General features: G+C 40.6%; 1 protein-coding gene across 13 annotated transcripts in view; it reads right to left on the bottom strand.

Annotated features, from left to right (window-relative positions):
• KCTD20 (potassium channel tetramerization domain containing 20) overlaps positions 1-21,251 on the bottom strand; it is a 48,142-nt gene that overhangs the window by 14,680 nt on the left and 12,211 nt on the right. For 5 of the 13 annotated variants that reach the window (NR_104480.2, XM_047418380.1, NM_001286580.2 and 2 more), the window contains one exon: positions 6,205-6,410. The exons of 1 other annotated variant lie outside the window; for it this stretch is intronic. Coding sequence is in view for 10 of the 12 variants with exons in the window: in NM_001286579.2 (NP_001273508.1) it covers positions 6,205-6,364 (160 nt within the window). In the remaining 2 variants the exon portion in view is untranslated. Of the gene's footprint in view, positions 1-1,399; positions 1,674-6,204; positions 6,411-10,763; positions 10,862-21,251 lie in introns of all 13 variants that reach the window. 7 more of the 13 variants (XM_011514398.4, NM_173562.5, XM_047418378.1 and 4 more) reach the window with 3 other exon arrangements.

Here is a 21,251-nt window from a genome sequence, read left to right as displayed (position 1 = left end):
TGAGACTCTGTCTTAAAAAAAAAAAAAAAAAAATGGTTCACTGTGAATTTATATGTTCAAATACACATATATTTGAATGGCTGGATTCTATTTAGCCTAGAATTCAATAAATTAGTGTGATCAATTCGAATTTCTAACTCAGTTTAATTAATTCAAAGTCCTGAGTTAGATCTCTAAACAAAATAAAATCTACTTCTAAGTAGATGAAAATGATCAAAAGCCAAATCTACATGTATAATATCATTATTATTACTATTTTTACTCTTATCCCAATTTGCTCTTCCTTAGGTTAAGGTCTATGGTTGGCCAGAAAGACAATCTCTTTACTCCTAGCCCAGGCTCTGAGACTCCTTCCTGGACAGTGTTCCTCCTTAGTAGGCTATTTCCATTTCCTAAACTCTAACCCTAAAACTCTGGGGGCCAGAGACGGTTAAGAGGAGATAAATCTGAATGAAGCAGCACAGAGAATGGACCATGAAGAATAAAGAGGGCAATTATGAAACAAACAACAAAACAACTAGGTTTAAAGATTCTATTTAAAGATTCCATTTCAAAAAACTTGAATAGTAATGGAAGGCATTAGAAAATGACAGTATAGCATCTGTTGCCAAGCATAAAACTTGCAATAGATGGCAGGGAAATGCTTTTCAGTAAAATAGCTTTGTTCTTGTGCCATGCAGAACATTTGCCTAATACTGTTATTTTTTTTTTTAAAAAGGGAGCAAGATTTAGGTCTCACCTTACCCCCAACATCTTTGACCTGTGAAACTCTGAAAACATTACTTAGAGTGAATTTGTAGAGGAGCAGAGAATGAGATTTAGCAGGTTATTTTTTCATAGTTTCCAAATAGATTTTATTTCCTTTTGTGGGGCTCATTTTACTATACTGGCTTTGTAAATGAAGTACTCTCCCCACCCCGAAATACCAACATGTATTAGGCTTTTACCAGCTTGCCCTCCCTTTCACAAATGTATGAGGGCAGAAAAATAATACAATGCTTTTTTTTTTTTTGAGACGGGAGTCTTGCTCTGTCACCCAGGCTGGAGTGCAATGGTGCAGTCTCGGCTCACTGCAACCTCCACCTTCCAGGTTCAGGCGATTCTCCTGCCTCAGCCTCCCAAGTAGCAGCTGGGATTATAGGTGCCCGCCACCACACCCAGCTAATTTTTGTATTTTTAGTAGAGATAGGGTTTCACCATGTTGGCCAGGCTGGTCTCAAACTCCTGACCTCAGGTGATCTGCCTGCCTCGACCTCCCAAAGTGCTGGGATTACAGACGTGAGCCACCGCGCCCAACCTATACAATACTTTTTACTGTTATATCTAATGCAAGATAAACAGCAGGTATTTTTATTTATAGAGAACAGAATGAATTTGGAAGAAAATTATCATCAGTTACCTTCCCAGCATGGTATCCGGATGAGCAGTGAAAATCTGTGGATTCACAACAAAACGTGTGCCATCTACAAGAAGCGTCACTTTCTCTGGTGCTTGGGAATGGGAATTACTGCCAAAGCCCACACTACTGTTTCCAAATCTTTCTGGAGCAATAAAAGGTTCATGGTTCCGTTTATTCCCACTTTGGAAGCAAGAACCTTTGATGTCTTCAGCAAGGGGCATTATGTGAGGGAACTGAAGATTTGCTGGCTGAGAGGCATAGTCAAGTGAGAGGTCTAAAAGAACATACAAAGAAACCAAAACAACTTGAGAGCAAAAGCCTTGAGAGAAAAATAAACCCTGTCTTCTTTAAAACAAGTAAACAAACAAAAAACCCCCAAATTTTAGATGTTCACAGGCAAAAAAAAACCTCTTGCCTACAGCAAGTAAAAAGCAAGCAAACAAAAAAACTAGAGACTTATATTGGATCTCTTCCATGTACATGTGAGGGTTGGGGGAGGGAGAGGATGAAGGCAGGATGCCCACACTTGAACGTTATTTAAATTTTCTAAAGTAAACTATGTATATGGTTAAGAAAAACAGTAGAGAAGAATTTATGTGGAGGCCCAGCAGTCTCCCCTGCTATTCCCTATACCTTCCCTGGTGTTGGTTCAGAGGCAATCACTTTTTACTTGTTTTCACTTCTATTGCTAAATAATACTTTTATATTTCCCGTGTTTTATTTAAGGAACCTGCTACTAATATGTGCCAAAACTATTCATTTTCAGATTCTTCAAAATTGTTTTAAAATTTTAGGAAGGGGAATATTACACTCTGGTGACTGTTGTGGGGTGGGGGGAGGGGGGAGGGATAGCATCGGGAGATATAGCTAATGCTAGATGATGAGTTAGTGGGTGCAGCGCACCAGCATGGCACATGTATACATATGTAACTAACCTGCACAATGTGCACATGTACCCTAAAACTTATAATAAAACAAAACAAAACAAAAACAAAACAAAACAAAATTTTATTTTTCAGAAGGGATAATGATAGTCTTTAATTTTCCAATATATTACTTTTCCTAGAAATTCACAGTAAAAGGCATTTTCACTATGTACAGGAGAATCCTAACATCACCTACACTATTTTTTCAAAACGGCAGGTCTTACTCTCAGCAGAAAAGTTCCAGTGCAAATGGCATTAGGATTCATTCATGAAATCTGTTTCTTAGTATCACCAAAAAGCTGTTTTCTTTAAGCAATTTATTTAATTTTTCTTTCCTTTCCTTTTTTTATTTTTTATTTTTTTTGAGATAGAGTCTCACACTGTCGCCCAGGCTGGAGTGCAGTGGCGCGATCTCAGCTCACTGCAAGCTCCGCCTCCCAGGTTCACGCTATTCTCCTGCCTCAGCCTCCCGAGCAGCTGGGACTACAGGAGCCCGCCACCATGCCTGGCTAATTTTTTGTATTTTTTAGTAGAGACAAGGTTTCATCGTGTTAGCTAGGATGGTCTCTATCTCCTGATCTCGTGATCCGCCCGCCTTGGCCTCCCAGAGTGCTGGGATTACAGGCATGAGCCACCACGCCTGGCCAGTTAATTTATTTAATTTTTCTACCTGGTCCATCATCTATATTGAGGATAAATAATGTTCACTCCATATACCTCACAGGGCTGTTTCACTTATAAACTGAAATTAAGGACGTGAGAGCACTTAAAAATAGGCCGGGTGCGGTGGCTCACGCCTGTAGTCCCAGCACTTTGGGAAGCCAAGGTGGGCAGATCATCTGAGGTCAGGAGATCGAGACCATCCTGGCTAACATGGTGAAGCCCCGTCTCTACTAAAAGTACAAAAAATTAGCTGAGTGTGGTGGCGGGTGCCTGTAGTCCCAGCTACTCAGGAGGCTGAGGCAGGTGAATGGTGTGAACCCGGGAGGCAGAGCTTGCAGTGAGCCGAGATCGCGCCACTGCACTCCAGCCTGGGTGACAGAGCAAGACTCTGTCTCAAAAAAAAAAAATTAGCCAGAAGTGGTGGTGGGTGCCTGTAATTCCAGCTATCAGGAGGCTGAGGCAGGAGAATCTCTGGAACCTGGGAGGTGGAGGTTGCAGCAAGCCAAGATTGTACCACTGCACTCCAGCCTAGGCAACAGAGCAAGACTCTGTCTCAAAAAAGAAAAAAAAATTATATATATATGTAAAATACTGCATGATACAAAACAGGCTTAAAACTAGATATATGAAATCTGGATGTATATAGAAGACAATCAGAAGTAAGTATTTACAAAGGATTACCAAAGGGTTCTTTTAAATAGGCAGTCTCCTCAAGTGATCCGCCCACCTTGGCTCCCCAAAGTGATTACAGGTGTGAGCCACCACACCCAGCCCTATTTTGTTTTAATGTAAAAAAAAGTTTTTTAATGAAAAATTCCAAACATAGGGAAGCACAAACTTAATATAATACATACGCCCCATCACCTACATACATTTGGCAAGATTTGTTAACATTTTTCTATCTTTTCTTCAAGCCCTTTTTGAAAAAAAAAAAGTTATCAATACAACTGAATTACTCCCATTCCTCTTGTTTATAAAATTTGTAAACAAATTCAGGAACATGATTAATGCCCATGACCTCTGGGAAATTAGTCTGATTTCCTACACTCAGACAACCAAATAAATTGTTGGGTAGAGGACACTTAGTTTTTTTCCCATTTGTTTGTAGATAAAAGGCAACAAAAATCTAGATCAAAAACCTATTTAGAGTTCCCATCCCATAGCTTCTCATAAACTTTCAATGTGGTCTCATGTTTGCACACCAAAAGCTACGCTTCCAGGTAACTCACAGGCAATCACCAGGTAACCCACAGGCAACCCACTTTGATCACCAGGATAGGCTTTCACACGTGAGGTGCTGTTTATTAAAAACGAAATAGATACCTGGGCCGGGCGCCGTGGCTCACGCCTGTAGTCCCAGCACTTTGGAAGGCCGAGGCGGGCGGATCATGAGGTCAGGAGATCGAGACCATCCTGGCTAACACAGTGAAACCCTGTCTCTACTAAAAATATAAAAAATTAGCCGGGCATGGTGGCAGGTGCCTGTAGTCCCAGCTACTTGGGAGGCTGAGGCAGGAGAATAGCGTGAACCCGGGAGGCGGAGCTTGCAGTGAGCCGAGATCGCGCCACCGCACTCCAGCCTGGGCAACAGAGCGAGGCTCCGTCTAAAAAAAAAAAAAAAAAGAAATAGATACCAGAATTACTAATTCAGTTCTTTAGAATGCTTGATTTCTCCCCAATAATGAAGCAATTAAAATGGGTTTATTCCGAAACCCAAAGAAGACACCTCAGGTTCTATCCTGCTTAAATGGGCGAGTAGGAAAACAGACTCCTTGCACAAGTTCTCCCTAATGGTGTACTCTTCAGCGGCAGTCATAGGCTTTTCTGTCAGTTAATACACATATAGAAATCATCTCAGCTCACTACCTCCTAGCAATGTGAACCTGAGCAAGTTACCTAAGCTTTCTAAGCCTCAGTTTCCTCATCTGTAAAACAAGGATAATAGTTGTAAGGACTAATCTGGAGTAGAGTCAGCAAATTTTCCATAAAGCGCTACAAAGTAAATATTTTAGGCTTGTGGTCAGTCTCTGCCACTACTGTAGCAGGAAGGCAGCCATAGACAATATGGACATGATGGCTGTTTCATTAAAATTTTATTTACAAAAACAGGTAGACAGATTTGACCAGTTTGCCACCCCTGATCTAAAGAATGTATGTAAAGTTCCTAGTACAGTGAATGTTCGATAAATGGTAGTTGCTATTATTGGTGCTATTGTTTTAATTAAAAGTTAAAAAGAATTTCAGTTTATCGGGATCTTTCACATCTATTAATTTGTTAATCTACTAGCCTTGTGAGGTAGGGAGAATTTTTTTTTTTTTTTTTGAGACACAGTCTCCCTCTCTTGCCCAGGCTGGAGCGCAGTGGTGTGATCTTGGCTCACTGCAACCTCCGCCTACCAGGTTCAAGCGATTCTTGTGCCTCATACTCCCAAGTAGCTGAGATTACAGGCATCTGCCACCACGCCCGGCTAATTTTTGTATTTTTAGTAGAGATGGGGGTTTCGCCACATTGGCCAGGCAGGTCTTGAAGTCCTGACCTCAAGTGATCCACCTGCTTTGGCCTCCCAAAGTGCTGGGATTATAGGCGTGAGCCACCGTGCCGGGCCTAGGAAGAATATTAATAGCCTTGTTTTCTAGATTAAGAAAGTGAGGCTTGCCAGCCTTGGCAAAATAGTGAAACCCTGTCTCTACCAAAAATATAAAAAGTTAGCTGGGTGTGGTGGTACCCACCTGTGGTCCCAGCAACTCGTGAGGCTGAGGTGAGAGGCTCACTTGAGCCTGGGAGGCAGAGCTGCAGTGAGCCAAGATCGCGCCACTGCACTCCAACCTGGGTGAAGAGTGAGACCCCATCTCAAAAAATAAAAATAAAAATAAAAAATAAAGTAAAGAAAAAGCAGGGCTCAGAAAGACTGAGGATCTCATCCATGGTTACAACTAATAAGCAGCTGAGCTAGAAGTTGAATATGTCTTCTGACTCCAAACCTGTGGCTGTTTTTGTTTGTTTGTTTTAATACCATTATCACCATATTAGATGTGCTAGACTGATTAAATAAGTGGAGAGTTTCTGTGAAGGTCAGCTTTATGTAATTGTGACATGCAAGCTAAGCAATTAATTGGATAATTTATTTAGATTAAAAACATTCATGCCTTCTGGGTAGAGTAGATGCTCTAGTATTGGAAAGCCCCCCAAATTAAGTCAAGAGTTAATCACTGTACCTTCATTCCTGGGACCTAGAGGATAAGTAAGATTATGAGGACCAGATGAAGCCAGGCTGTTTGCTTCTTTTTCTTGGGCTACAGCTAAAGTATCATCCACTAAGCAGCTGGCCTCCTGCCGCAATAACCTGTCACTGTCACTGCCACGGTGAACATTCATCCTTAGATTCTGAGTCCTGAACTGTCCGTTTGATCAGAGAGAAATCCTGGAACACAGGAATATGCATGATTTAGAACTCACAAAACAGATTTCTAAGGAATTCCATGGTATGAAAGCAAAACTAGAAAACTGACAGCTAGCATTCCTGTTCTCAGGAGAAATAGGCATCTTAAACATTTTTGTGATTTTTATATCGATAGGAATCAGGCTGATTTAAATGGTCTTTATCAAATTACTAAGAATGCAGATAAACTTGTTACCAGGGAATAATTTTATCCATGAACAGACATCAAATTCACTGACTTTGGTCACATTCTTGATCAATTCTACATTAAATGGTGGTACAATAATTTTGTGGTATTCATATTACAGAGACATAGGGCAGCAGAGAGTCCAACTTTTCAACTAAAGAAAACCTATGTTTTTTTAAAATTGACACATACACTGTTGCAACAATTAAGCACCAGGAAATTAAAAAACAATCACAACCTTAAAGCCAGTGTGAGAATCATCTGAGCTGAAGAAAAAAGCTAATTCTGATTGTAGAGCTCAAGTTCTCCTTTTTATCTCCCCTTTTCTCTCTTTCACTTTGTATACCTTATGCTCAATCCCGAAACCCCACCTCAAAATCACACTGGCTATAAAGCTAATCATGTCATTCATCTCTCTCGAAAGCAGTGCAGAGTCCCCATGAACAACACACACTATGTGACTGCCACGTGCAAGACCCCCAGTGATGAGGCAGGATGGAGATGCCACAGCAGCCACACAGGGGGCCTCATAACTTTCTGCTGGTTAATCACGCCCTGCAACCCTTCCATCCTCGATGGCGGCTACTCAAAATATTTCTGAAGTTCACTCTACTTAGCACTTTCACAGTTTACACTGTACAAATTTCCACTGGCATTCTGGTGGAAGAATCATCTTAAATCACCAGTAATTTGTATGCATATGGATTACATGCTTAATATTTTAGGAAACAGGAAGCTCACTAAGGGCAGTAATGCATTTTAATACTCTGAATTTCCTGGCATACCAAGCATGTGGTAGGTGCCAATAAACATCTATAAAAAATAAACATAATATCTGTAATGTAAATGAAATTTTGAATCCCTTCATAACATATATTAAAATATTTTTAGCATAAAATTGATCAGTTTATGCCCTGATCCAAGTTTTCACTTAGATGAAATGTAAAAATGACCACTTTGATAGGATGGATAGAGGAATATGCCTGAAAATAAATCATGCTAAAGAGATACTTTCAATTGATGAAATCTTTCTCAGACAATGGCTCTTATTAAGCAAATTGAAGGAATAAAGTGAATGTATTGATAGAAAACCTTCAATGTGACTACAGCTTTTTTCACAATTATCCTTTCTTAAAAATAAAGTATTTATATTATGAAAATGCAGCCATTTAAAATTGATGTTTGGTGATTGGTAAAGTCAAACAGAACCACCAATGCCTTCAAGTGTGGCTCAGATGTCAAAATCAAGTCTACAGAATAAGATAAAGAACAAGGTCCATGGAATTGGAAAGAACATTACCAAAGACGGTCTGCTTCTTTAATCTTAACTGGTTTTGAACCATAATATTCCAATCTATTTACAGCTCCTCCAGCTGCTCAAGAACCAAGTTCAAACTTCTCTTTGTTGCACTCGAAAAGATCTCTTGAACCAACACACAATAAGCTTGACTGAGCCTGCTTCTTGAGAACTTGTATGGACTAGACTGTATAAGCCACTTAATTTAATCTTCATAATGTAAGAAAATCGTTTTGTTATCATGGTATAAAAAATGTCCTAGTTTATAAAACCAGGGCTCCAAAATCAGTTTAATTTGTATATGGTGAACTAATAAATGGATGTACTTGGAGTTTAGCAGGGTAGGTATCACCACGGAGGGAAAATAAAGTAACTTTCTCAGCACTTAACAGGTATTTGCATTTAATTAATTTTTATTATAAGTAATACACAAATATATTCCTAAGAAAATTCAAACCTTATAGATAATGCAAAAAAGGACCTTTTGATCATCATTCCTAATCCCAGTCATTTCTCCAAGTAACTATCATTACTTGCTTGGATGAATCCTTTCAGACTTTATTAAAATGCATGTTTATTATTCAGATATACTGGGGAAAGCATACAGTTTTTAAAAAACACACAAATTATATACTATATGCCTCATTCTCATTCTGTAATGTTTTTCTAAATGTTCTTGAGAACCATCCATGATTGAAGATTGAGATCTAGTTCATTCATTTTTAAGGGCTGTATAATATTCTATTAATACAATTTTACTCTCCTCCCTATCAATATTTAAGTTGTTTATAACAAACAAATGCTTTGACGAGTAAGATCAGAGCGTACTATGGAACTCCAAGAGAGGATTCAGTTTGCAGAGTTTTCCCAAATGGATTTGGCTTCAGAATTTCTTTTTTCAAGAAATCCTTCAGAGCCAGGCACGGTGGCTCACACCTGTAATCCCAGCACTCTGGGAGGCTGGGGCGGGCGGATCACGAGGTCAGGAGATCGAGACCATCCTGGCTAACACGGTGAAACCCCGTCTCTATTAAAAATACAAAAATTACCCGGGCGTGGTGGGGGCGCCTGTAGTCCCAGCTACTCGGGAGGCTGAGGCAGGAGAATGGCATGAACCTGGGAGGTGGAGGTTGCAGTGAGCAGAGATGGCGCCATTGCACTCCAGCCTGGGCGAAAGTGCGAAACTCCGTCTCAAAAAAAAAAAAAAAAAAAAAAAAAAAAAAAAAAAAAATCCTGAAGGATTTTCGGAGTCTTTCACTTGTTGCCCAGGCTGGAGTGCAATGGCACCATCTCAGCTCACTGCAACCTCCACCTCCTGGGTTCAAGCGACTCTCCTGCCTCAGCCTCCCAAGTAGCTGGGATTACAGGCACCCACCACCACGCCCTGCTAATTTTTGTATTTTTAGTAGACACGGGGTTTCACCATGTTGGCCAGGCTGGTCTCAAACTCCTGACCTCAGGTGATCCACCCGCTTCGGCCTCCTAAAGTGCTGGGATTACAGGTGTGCACGACCACACCCAGCCCAGGATTAATGTTTAATGGCACATACTTTCAGATATCACCGAACCCAGCATTTCCCAAAGTCCCCTATAAACTCTATTTCCTCTAAAATCCCAGAATGATGGAACAAAAATCTCTTGACTTATGAAACCTAAGAAGCAAACTGATACCAAGTTCTTCAACAAACCAGAGCAGGCAGTTTAAATATAATAGTAAGGTTCTATTCCCCTTCCAGCATGGACGCTTCATTCAACTTTGAATGATATTTTCATTGCCTACCCTGGTTCACTTCTGTAGCCATCCCCCAAATGAATCTTCGTCCTCAGAACAGATTGAAGGCGGGGAAAAAAAAAAGGAAAGAAAAAAAGGCAAGGCGCAGTGGCTCACACCTGTAGTCTCAGAACTTTGGGAGGCCAAGGCAGGAGGATCTCTTGAGCCTGAGAGTTCAAGACCAGCCTGGGTAATATAGTAAGATCTCATCTCTAAAAAAAATTTAAAAATTAGCCAGACATGGTGGTGCATGCCTGTAGTCCCAGCTACTTGGGAAGCTGAGGCGGGAGGATGATTTAAGCCCAGGAGGTCGAGGCTGTAGTGAGCTGTGATTGTACCACTGCACTCCAGCCTGAGCAGCAGAGCAAGACCCTGTTTCAAAAAAAAAAAAAAAGAGAAAAAAAGCAGCAAAACACAGCCAGGCCCAGTGGCTCATGCCTGTCATCCCAGCCCTTTGGGAGGCTGAGGTGGGCGGATCACCTGAGGTTAGGAGATCGAGACCATCCTGGCCAACATGGTGAAACCCCGTCTCTACTAAAAATACAAAAATTAGCTGGGTGTGGTGGTGTGCACCTGTAGTCCCAGCTACTCGGGAGGCTGAGGCAGGAGAATTGCTTGAACCCAGGAGGCGGAGATTGCAGTGAGCTTAGAGCACCCCAGCCTGGGTGACAGAGAGAGACTCCATCTCAAAAAAAAAAAAAAGAAAAGAAACAAAACACTTCAACAACAATATAATTCTCTATTGCTGCAAAACTATTTTTTGGTCAACACAACTCTGAAGGTCACAGCAATGTGCAAGAACCAGAGGTTCACCACCCTGTTATAGCTTAACAGTAACTGAAGAGACTGCTTTGGAAAGGCAGCAAGAGTTAAAATGTATATTAATAATGGAACCCAGAATATACAGCTGTGAAGCAAAGAAAACATCCAGCAAGCCAGTTCATGCTTCACTTCCATACATTCTGTGAAAGCATTTTATACACTCTGAGGAGCTATATATTTTAAGAGTATATATTTTATTATTTATTTCACAGGCCTCCCATGAAGGCCCATATTTTGTTAAGTCTTGATTTTACTGACCTGGAACAGCAAAATAGTTTTATCACCATCATCTCCCCATCTTGGAAAATGTATATACAGTCTTTGATAGTGGAATTATCTCTACATATTCCTTGCACCTAAAAAAGAATGTACTGGTTTCTCTCTAGAACAATCATCTTGAGTATGAATCCACACAACAGCCTGTAGATAATAAATTTATATATTTTCTTATTTGCAATTTCTCCTAATCAATTATTTCTGAAGAAAACAAGATATTTACCTAGATCACTATTCCCTTAAATAAATTCAATATCCTACCATTGAACTACTCAGATTAAAAAAAAAAAAAACAAAAAAAAACTAATTGGAATGGCATGGGGGCAATAATATTGATGTATCTCAAAAGCATAATGCTTGCATACTGTTTTTTTTTTTTTTTTTGAGACGGAATCTCACCCTTCTTGCCCAGGCTGGAGTGCAGTGGTACGATCCCAGCTCACTGCAACCTCTGCCTCCCGGGTTCAAGCAATTCTCCTGCCTCAGCCTCCTGAGTAACTGGGATTACAGGCATGCACCATCACGCCCGGCTAATTTTTGTATTTTTAGTGCAGACGGGGTTTCATCATGTTGGCTAGGATGGTCTTGATCTCCTGACCTCATGATCCACCCACCTTGGCCTCCCAAAGTGCTGGGATTACAGGCGTGAGCCACCATTTCATACCGTTAATAGTGCAAGGACATGATCTTTCAAAAGGCAGTACCCTTGTTTATACTTAGGACCGTATCTCCACTCTGTGTAGGAGGTGGGAGGTGAAAATGAAGTAGGATGCCACAGAATTTGGTAAATAAGCTAATCTGCCCTTAACCCATATCCCATAATCAAACTTAAGAAGTAGTTATATCTTTGCCAAACCTTCATTCCAAACTGAAAAATCCTAGCCCTTCCAGTCTGTTCTTATGTGAAAACCACTTGGTCTAGTTCCATTGTGCTTTTTCTTTATGCATGCTAATGAGAACTCTGCTAATGTTTTCTGTTAAGCAGGTTTTCTGTTTTGCTGCACATAATGCTCTCTGGTGACACCCAGAATTTCTGGGAATAGGTTAAAATGGGATGAAGTTTGGGGGAGGGGAAACAGAGGGGGATGGGGAAAATCTAAAATGTCTACAAGACCTCCTTCTAGGACTATTATGAACTCACAGTAAGAGGCTATCATATTCCGAAAGTACTGAGTCTCTACAAAAGATAAGAAATTAGCTGGTGTGTGATGGTGTACACTTGTTGTCCCAGCTGCTCAGGAGGCTGTGGAAGGAGGATCACTTGAGCCTGGGAGGTCAAGGCTGTAGTAACCCATTATCATGCCATTGCACTCCAACCCATGACAGAGCAAGACCCAGTCTCTCTCATTCATTCATAAATAGAGTTTATACTGATGTTTTCAGTTCAAATTTAATACTGGTTTTTCCTAACTCATTTTATATTAGTGTATCTTTTCCTTCACATTGAAATTCTTGGTTCATAGACTAGTTTCAGAATTATAATGTCAAATTACTAGTAACAATAAACCTACTAAGTTTAGGTGTTTTGGTCAAGGGAGCAGTTCTTTTTGTCCTTAAAGCATATCCCACTAAGGATGTACAGTCAGCATGCTATATTCAAAAGTTACTGTGTATTTTTTCTCTATATGTTCTGTAAGGTAGGTTCTTTTGTTTCTCTTTTTATTCAATCATAGCATTTTCCCATTATTTTTAAAATGTATTTCCTGAATATGTAAAACATTTACATGGTTCCGAAGTTGAAGACTCATAAAAAAGGAATGTTCAGAGAAGTCTCTGTCCTTCCCCTTTTTCCCTCTCAATCTGTTCCTATTTATTCCCTACAGATAACCAGTTGTCTTAGTCCATTTGTGCTGCTATAAACAAAATGCCTGAGACTGGGTAATTCATAAAGAACAGAAATTTCTTTTCTCACAGTTCTGGAGGCTGAGAAATCCAAGCAAGATTAGGGTGCTGGCAAATTGGGTATCTGGTGAGGGCTGTTCCTCAAAGATGATGGCATCCAGGCGTCCTCACATGATGGAAGGAGAAGGGCTAGCTAGGTTCCTTCAATTCCCTTTTATAAGGCCTAATCACCTCCTAAAGGCCTCCCCTCTTAATGGTATCACCTTGGGGGTTTAAGTTCCAACACAACAATTTTGGAGGGACATATACATTCAAACCATAGCATTGGTTTTGTTAGTTTATCTTTAATGTTTCTCTTTGCAGACATAAGGAAGTATGTGTGTACATATACATATATTCTTAACTCCTTTTTTCTCTTATACAAAAGATAGAATACCATATTCTACCAAATAAAATACCATATTTTGTACCTTGTTATATTACTTAACAGTATATCCTGGAAATCACTCCATGGGAGTTCATACACATATTCCTCATTCTTTATTATGTCTGCATAATACTCCACTGTGTAGCTATTAATATGGAGAGATTAGATACAGAAAAGGGAAAAAGGGCATTCCAGGCAAGATGAATGACAAATAACTGGCAGGAAAATAAGAATAAACAAGGCTTTATTACCATATGAAAGAGAAAGAAAGTAAACCAATCAGGCTAGAGTGAAGGATTAATGCAAAAGGGTGGGAAAAGTCAAGGTTACCACCATATCATACAATTCCAGGGAAGACCATGCACATCATCATCTAAGGAGCTGTATAAAGCACAGCTTAGATAATTGTACACACTCCCTTGGGTAAAGCTAAAGACAAAAAGTTGGGGCTAGTTTACAGAGGCACTTAGATTATAAGGTAAAATAGGATTCTGTCTTGTAGCCAAAGCTTCTGCAGGAAGGTGTCATGTTCAAAATGTTGCTTTAAGATAAATAAGACCACAGACAGACTGGAGGGGCTATAAGAGAAGGTTACTAAAATTGTCTAGGAGTGAGGTAGTAAGTATCTTAGTGGGCTGACAGCGAAGAAAAGGGTATTACCTAAGACACAGTCTTGCTTACCTTCAAAGAGCTTACAATCTAGTTGTTGAGATAATGTATTATTTAAGAGTTACATAATACAGAAATGATATTTTAGAATCAGAAGAGACCTCAGTGATCATATTGTCCAATGGTTCTCAAATCCAGCTGATAATCAGAATCACTTAGAGGAACTTGTTAAAACATCTTCTTGGGCCCCATTCCCCAGAGATTCTTATTCAATAAGTCTTTAGTTGGGTCTGGAGAATCTGAACTTGTAACACGCTCCTCAAGTGATCTCCCACTGACTGGCGATGTTTGGGAACTACTGTTTCAGTATAGTCTTTTCATTTCATAGATGAGAAGCTGAATCACAACAATATTCTTTTCCAAGAATGTTACAGGAGATTACAATCTAGGGGTTGGGAGGCCTTTTTAATCAAGACCCAAAACCCAAAAGCGAAATGAGAAAGACAAATCTGACCACAAAACATTTAAAAACATTTGTATGGCAAAGGATCCTATAAACAAAGACAACAGACTTGAAAAACTATATATGTAACAGACTACGAAGGGTTGTTATCATCATACTCCACAAGGGTTATGAAAATACATGAAACTAACACAACAGAAAAATGGTGAAGGATGGAAAAGGGGCAGATACCCAAAAGAGAGTTGGTGAAGCTATATTAATAGCCTACAAAATAGAATTTAAGGCAAAAAACTACACAAGCTTGGCAAGGCAGAAAATTCAAAGGATATCTGTGGACAGGACTATTTCTGCTCCTCATTTCTACTTGGAAGAAAATCATAATGAGAAGCAGGAGAGAAGAAGGCATTACAATTCCACAGGAAAGCTCGTACTCCTCTGATTCCACTTCCCTTTTCCTTCCTCCTTCTCTACAAATCACAGGCCAGGCTAACAAGCTGACAGATAAAAGTACAATGACAGGGTGACAAGATTAGAATTGCTTGGATAAATTTTCCTGTCTCCTCTATTTGACACTCCTAACTTACTACCCTTAGTACGTTTTTGTCAATATAACTTAGATGAAAGACAGCTTTTAACTTACATAAAAGACTATATGAGTTACAGTACTTTTTTGTCAATATAACTTAACGTTGAAAGACAGCTTTTGTGCACATAAAAGGCTATGTGAGTTACTTGGATTTACATTAAGACCTTAAATTCAGTATATTAACAGTCTAAAGACCCTTAGTTTTTTTATAACTGTATCAGCCTAATTACCTAATTTAAAAATATTAATGTACTACATATAAAAAGATTTAAAGAACCATATAATAAAAACTCTTGTACCCACCTCCAGTTTAAATATAAAACATGAATCCCCTAAATTTGGCATTCCCATCAAACATCTTCACTACATTTAGTTTAATAGATGCTCTTTTCCTGTGTTAGCACTTCAAATGCCTACCAAGCAAATCCTTAAGTACTTTTTTAAAAAAGTTCTGGTAGATGTTTAAAAAATTAAACTTATAAGTATAGTATACATAAAAAGGTCCTAAATATTACAACACTTTTCAAACTTAGCAAAGTTTTCTAGCATTCTTCAACTAATAATCAAATCTAAACCAAATTACTCAAGAACATATCTTAAATGAGAATCACAAATTAATCTGCTGGATTCTTTCATATGTCAAATTACTGCAAACATTACATCCTAAGTCCAGATGGACTTAAACTTAATTGATTTAACACATATCATGCACTATATATTATTTAAGTACTTTATAAATATTATTTAATACTCAAAAAACTTTATGAGGTAGATGCCATTGTTACCCTCATTTTACACATAAGAAAACTGAAGGAAGAAGGAGGTTAAGGAAAGTTCCCACAGTCACACAGCTAACAAGCAGTGGAGCCAGACTTCTGGCTTCATAGTCCATGCTGTTTACCACCATGCAGTGCCGCTGCTCCTTATAGGTATAAATCACTTCAAAATTTCTATGTATGTTTTACAGGACTGGAAATGTGATTTCAAGCTGAAGACCGGGGGCTAGGACATATAATCTTCCTGTGCTGATAATGGGCACATCTAGCACCTTTCCTCTTTAAATAATTGCTACAACAGAGCCTCTAAATCAAATACCTCCAGATGGGGGTTGATTTTACAATCTGAGTTCAAATTAAGTTCTAATTGTGAGGCTGGGTGCGGTGGCTCACGCCTGTAATCCCAACACTTTGGGAGGCTGAGGTGGGCGGATCACTTGAGGTCAGCAGTTCGAAACCAGCCTGGCCAACATGGTGAAACCCCGTCTCTATTAAAAATACAAAAAATTAGCTGGGTGTGATGGTGGGCACCTGTAGTTCTAACTACTCGGGAGGCCGAGGCAGGAGAATCGCTGGAATCTGTGAGGTGGAGGTTGCACTGAGCTGAGATCATTCCACTGCACTCCAGCCTGGGCTACAGGCTCAGTCTCGGGAAAAAAAAAGAGAGATCTAATTCTGCTGTAACTTCTTTCAACTTTATTACCTAAATACTGGTTAGATGGAATTCTATAATTTCCATGTGGGGTGCTTCCTCTTTTGATTGAACTTAACTAGTTAAGGTCATTCTAATGAAACCTTAAGGAGAACAATCCAAGGCACATAATAGGTCAAAGAAAGCTCACGACTCCTACAAAAAAGCTGGTCAACATATAATAGAATTTCCAGGGTAAGGTCTTCAGTGTCCAGGATACTCCTCTACTTGGCTATTACCTAAAACTCTCTAAAGGAACAACTGCATAGGCTGTAAAGAATAATTTAAAGACAAACTTCTAGGAAATCCAAGGGATATACTTTTAGTAATAACATTTTTTAAAGCAGTGCAATTAAAAAATTAAAAGTATATTAGTAAATACAGTTGACTATTTTATAGAAAAGAGCTAAGCATTTATATAGCAAGAAAAGAGTTGAAGGCTTTAGAGGACAGATCCATAAATCAGTACTATAGTAACAGAGCTAACATGTAGAAAATTCATGTTATAAACAATCCACAAATCACTGTCAGAAAACAGTATAAAGGTCATCTAGTTCAAGGACCAGCACCAATTGCTGTCAAAAGTACTGTAGTAACAGAGCTAACATGTAGAAAATTCATGTTTATAAACAATCCACAAATCACTGTCAGAAAACAGTGTAAAGGTCATCTAGTTCAAGGACCAGCACCAATTGCTGTCAAAAGTTTTCATGCAGTCTTGTCAAAAATTAGGCCAATGTAGATAATGTAACCCACACACCATTTTCTGAGTCCTAAGACACTTGACGCTAAGACATCATCAATCTAAAAACTTTTTAAGAAAAAGCAGCACTATTGTATTAAATAGAATTTTCAGATGCATCCTGATTTTAAAAATGTTAAAATATGAAGTGAAAAATTATGGTATATAGTGTAAGGCTTCCTTGGGAAGGGCTATCCTTTGTACCTAAATGATATCTTCTTTTTCTTTTTTTTTGAGACGGAGTCTCGCTCTGTTGCCCAGGCTGGAGTGCAGTGGCATGATCTCAGCTCACTACAACCTCTGCCTCCGAGTTCAAGCGATTCTCCTGCCTCAGCCTCCCGAGTAGCTGGGATTATGGGCACGTGCCACCAGCCCTGGCTAATTTTTGTATTTTTAGTAGAGATGGGGTTTCACCACGTTGGCCAGGCTGGTCTCAAACTCTTGACCTTGATATCAAGTGATCCACCCACCTCGGCCTCCCAAAGTGCTGGGATTACAGGCGTGGGCCACGGTGCCCAGCCATCTTTACTTCTTTTTTAATATTAAAAATGTATTTTTTTTCCTCATTAGTATAGTGGTCAGTATAAAAAAAAGAAAAAACAGACTTGGACTCCCAGGCTCAAGCAATCCTCCCACTTCAGCCTCCCAAGTAGCTGGAACCACAGATACATGCCACCATGCCTGGCTAATTTTTTTTTCCCCTTTTTAAATTATTCTGTAGAGACAGGGTCTCACTATGTTGCCCAGGCCAGTCTCAAGCTCCTGGGATCAAGCCATCCTTCCGCCTTGGTCTCCCAAAGTGTTGGGATTACAGGCATGGCCACCTCACTTGGCCAAAAATGCCTTCTTTAAAAATGTAATAATCCAGACACAGTGGCTCACGCCTGTAATCCCAGCACTTTGGGAGGCCAAGGCAGGAGGATCACTTGAGCCCAGGAGTTCAAGACCAGCCTGGGCAACATAGCCAGACCTTTCTTTCTTTTCTTTTTTTTTTTTTTTTTTTGAGATGGAGTTTTGCTCTTGTTGCCCAGGGTGGAGTGCAGTAGCACGCTCTTGGCTCACTGCAACCTCTGCCTCCCAGGTTCAAGCAATTCTCCTGCCTTAGCCTCCTGAGTAGCTAGGATTACAGACATGCACCACCACGCCCGGCTAATTTTTTTGTATTTTTAGTAGAGACGGGGTTTCTCCATGTTGGTCAGGCTGGTCTCAAACTCTCGACCTCAGGTGATCCGCCCACCTCGGCCTCCCAAAAATGCTGGGATTACAGGCATGAGCCACCGCACCCGGCCTAGACCTTTCTCTACAAAAATAAAAATAAAAAAAAATTAGCTGGCCATGGTGGCTCATGCCTGTGGTCCCAGCTACTCAGGAGGCTGAGATGGGAGGACTGCTTGAGTCCAGAAGGTTGAGACTGCAGTGAGCCATGATCATGCTACTGCCTTCCTGCCTGGGCAACAGAGCAAGACCCTGTCTCAAAAAAGAAGGCTAGATTTTTTTAATGCCCTTACATGACAAAATAAAATGCCAGCAACCTTATGATGGTCTCCCAATCACCCACCGCCACAATTTTACCAATCATGAACCTCAAAATCTGGGATCTCAAACCTTCCACCCAAGACTACAAAACACCTCTACTAGTTCATCCCAGTCTACCTAAAAATATCCAAAAATAATCTATTACACCCACTGTGACTTCCATGCACTAGTTTAATCCTACCCCCGGAAAAACATATCCTTCCATCACTTCCAACCCTTTAAATATTAAAGACAAGTACCATAAATTTCCCTTCTTTGATTAGCATATTAAATCTATAATTCTTGCCACAGTTTTGCATTTAACACTGTTTCCAGACTTCTTGACATTTTTGCAGTGGCAGATCATGACTCACTGTAGTCTCCAACTCCTGGGCTCAAGCAATCCTCCTGCCTCAGCCTCCCAAGTAGCTGGTATTACAGGTATGCACAACCATGCCCAGCTAATTTTTTAATTCTATTTTAAGTAGAGATAGGAGTCTCACTATGTTGCCTAAACTGGTCTCTAACTTGTGGGCTCAAGCAATCATCCCACCTGGGCCTCCCAAAGCATTGGAATTATAGGCGTGAGTCCCCGTACCCGGCCTCAACATTTGATTAGGATACAGACTTAAAAATAGCAAGGCCTTCTTTAATGCTCAGTATTGGTAAAATTACAAGAAACCATTCCAATTCTAAAATCCACAATATGACCGAGGCAAGTAATGTGGGAATCTCTGAAAAGCATCAGATAAGTGATTTAAAGGATTAAATAGTATCTTCATTAATTCAGGAATAGCATACAGCCCACAATGGCTCACATGCAATCCCTGTACTTTAGGAAGCCAAGGTGGGAGGACTGCTTGAGCCCAGGAATTTGAGACCAGCCTTGGCAACACAGTGAGACCCCCATCTCTCCAAAAAATAAAAAATTAGGCCGGGCACGGTGGCTCACACCTGTAATCCGAGCACTTTGGGAGGCCGAGGCAGGTGGATCACTTGAGACCAGGAGTACCAGGCTGGGCCACATGGCAAAACCCCGTCTCCACAAAAAGAAATACAAAAAAATTAGCCAGGCATGGTGGCATATGCCTGTAGTCCCAGCTACTTGAGAGGCCAAGGTTTGCATGAGAGGAGGATTGCATGAGACTAGCCTGGACAACACACCAAGACCGCCATCTCTTTACCATCTCTTTTTTCCAGACGTGGTTTTGCACACCTGTAGTCCCAGCTACTCAGGAGTGGGTTACAGGCTCCACAGGCTCTTTACCATCTCTTTTTTCCAGGCATGGTTGTGCACACTTGTAGTCTCAGCTACTCAGGAGGCTGAGGCAGGAAGGTCATTTGAGCTCAGGAGGTCAAAACTGCAGTGAGCTGTGATAGCACCACTATATGCCACCGTGGATAACAGAGCAAGATCCCAGCTCTTAAAAAAAAAAAAAAAAAAAAAAAAAGCCTGGGCGTGGTGGCTCAGGCCTGTAATCCCAACACTCTGGGAGGCCAAGGTGGGCGGATCATCTAAGGTCAGGAGTTCGAGACCAGCCTGGCCAACATGGTGAAACCCTGTCTCTACTAAAAATACAAAAATTAGCTGGATGTGGTGACGGGCGCCTGTAATCCTGGCTACTTGGGAGTCTGAGGCAGGAGAATCGCTTGAACCCGGGAGGCAGAGGTTGCAGTGAGCCAAGATTGCGCCACTGCACTCCAGCCTGGGTGACAGAACAAGACTCCGTCTCAAAAAAAAGCTAATTTTTTAGCGATGGGGTCTTGCTATGTTGCCCAGGCTGGTCTCAAGCAATCCTCCTGCCTTGGCCTCCCAAAGTGCTGGGATTACAGGTGTGAGCTACTGTACCTGGCCTCAGAACATTTTCTAGAACACTGGGATTTCTACTGCTACCAATGGGCAAGTTTCTACCAGAATAAACCTCCTACTGGAGAGCGCTCAGAAAAGCTGAGTAAAACAGAAAAAAAACATCTGTTTGAAGGCATCAGACAACTAGTGAAGTGGCCAAGACTCAAGAAGTGAATTCCTACAGAGAAGATGTGATGGTCAATTTTATGTATCAACTTGGCTAGGCTACAGTCCCGTTATTCAAACACTAATACAGGTGTTGCTGTCAAGGTATTTGGTAGATACAATTACAGTCTATAGTTACTTACTTTAAGTAAGGAAGATTATCCTAGATAATCTGGGTGGGCCTGATCCAATCAGTTGCTTTAAGGGCAGAACACAAACTTCTCTGAGGAAGAAGAAATTCTGCCTGCAGACTGTAGCTTTTGCTCCTATCCTAGAGGTCCTGCCTGTCCCTCCTGGCTGCAACCTGTCTTACGGGTTTCAGACTTGCCTAGCTAGTCCCCAACATAGTGTGAACCAATTCTTTGCAATAAATAGCCTAATATGTATGTGTGTGAACACACACACACACACACACACACACTACTGGTTCTATTTTCTTTGGTGGAACGCTAATAGAGAAAGCAAATAAGTTAAGCCCAACACTCTGTACCACTTTTCTCCTCCAGATATTTGCCAATTTGGAAGCAGCTACCAAAAGGCTATAAAGCTAAGTAGAAAGCAGCAGCTAAAAAGTTGAGAAGTTTTTTTGTTTGTTCTGTTTTTGTTTTTAGACGGAGTCTTGCTCTGTCGCCCAGGCTGGAGTGCAGTGGCATGATCTTGGCTCACTGCAACCTCTGCCACTCAGGTTAAAGCGATTATCCTGCCTCGGCCTCCTGAGTGGCTGGGACTACAGACACCTGCCACCACACCCAGCTAATTTTTGTATTTTTAGTAGCGGCAGGGTTTCACTGTGTTGGCCAGGCTG

Source organism: Homo sapiens, chromosome 6 (assembly GCF_000001405.40).
Source record: "Homo sapiens chromosome 6, GRCh38.p14 Primary Assembly".
NCBI classification, from domain to species: Eukaryota; Metazoa; Chordata; class Mammalia; order Primates; family Hominidae; genus Homo; species Homo sapiens.
The sequence above is the reverse complement of the archived record's forward strand: the minus strand, read 5'-3'. Positions and strand labels throughout refer to the sequence as shown.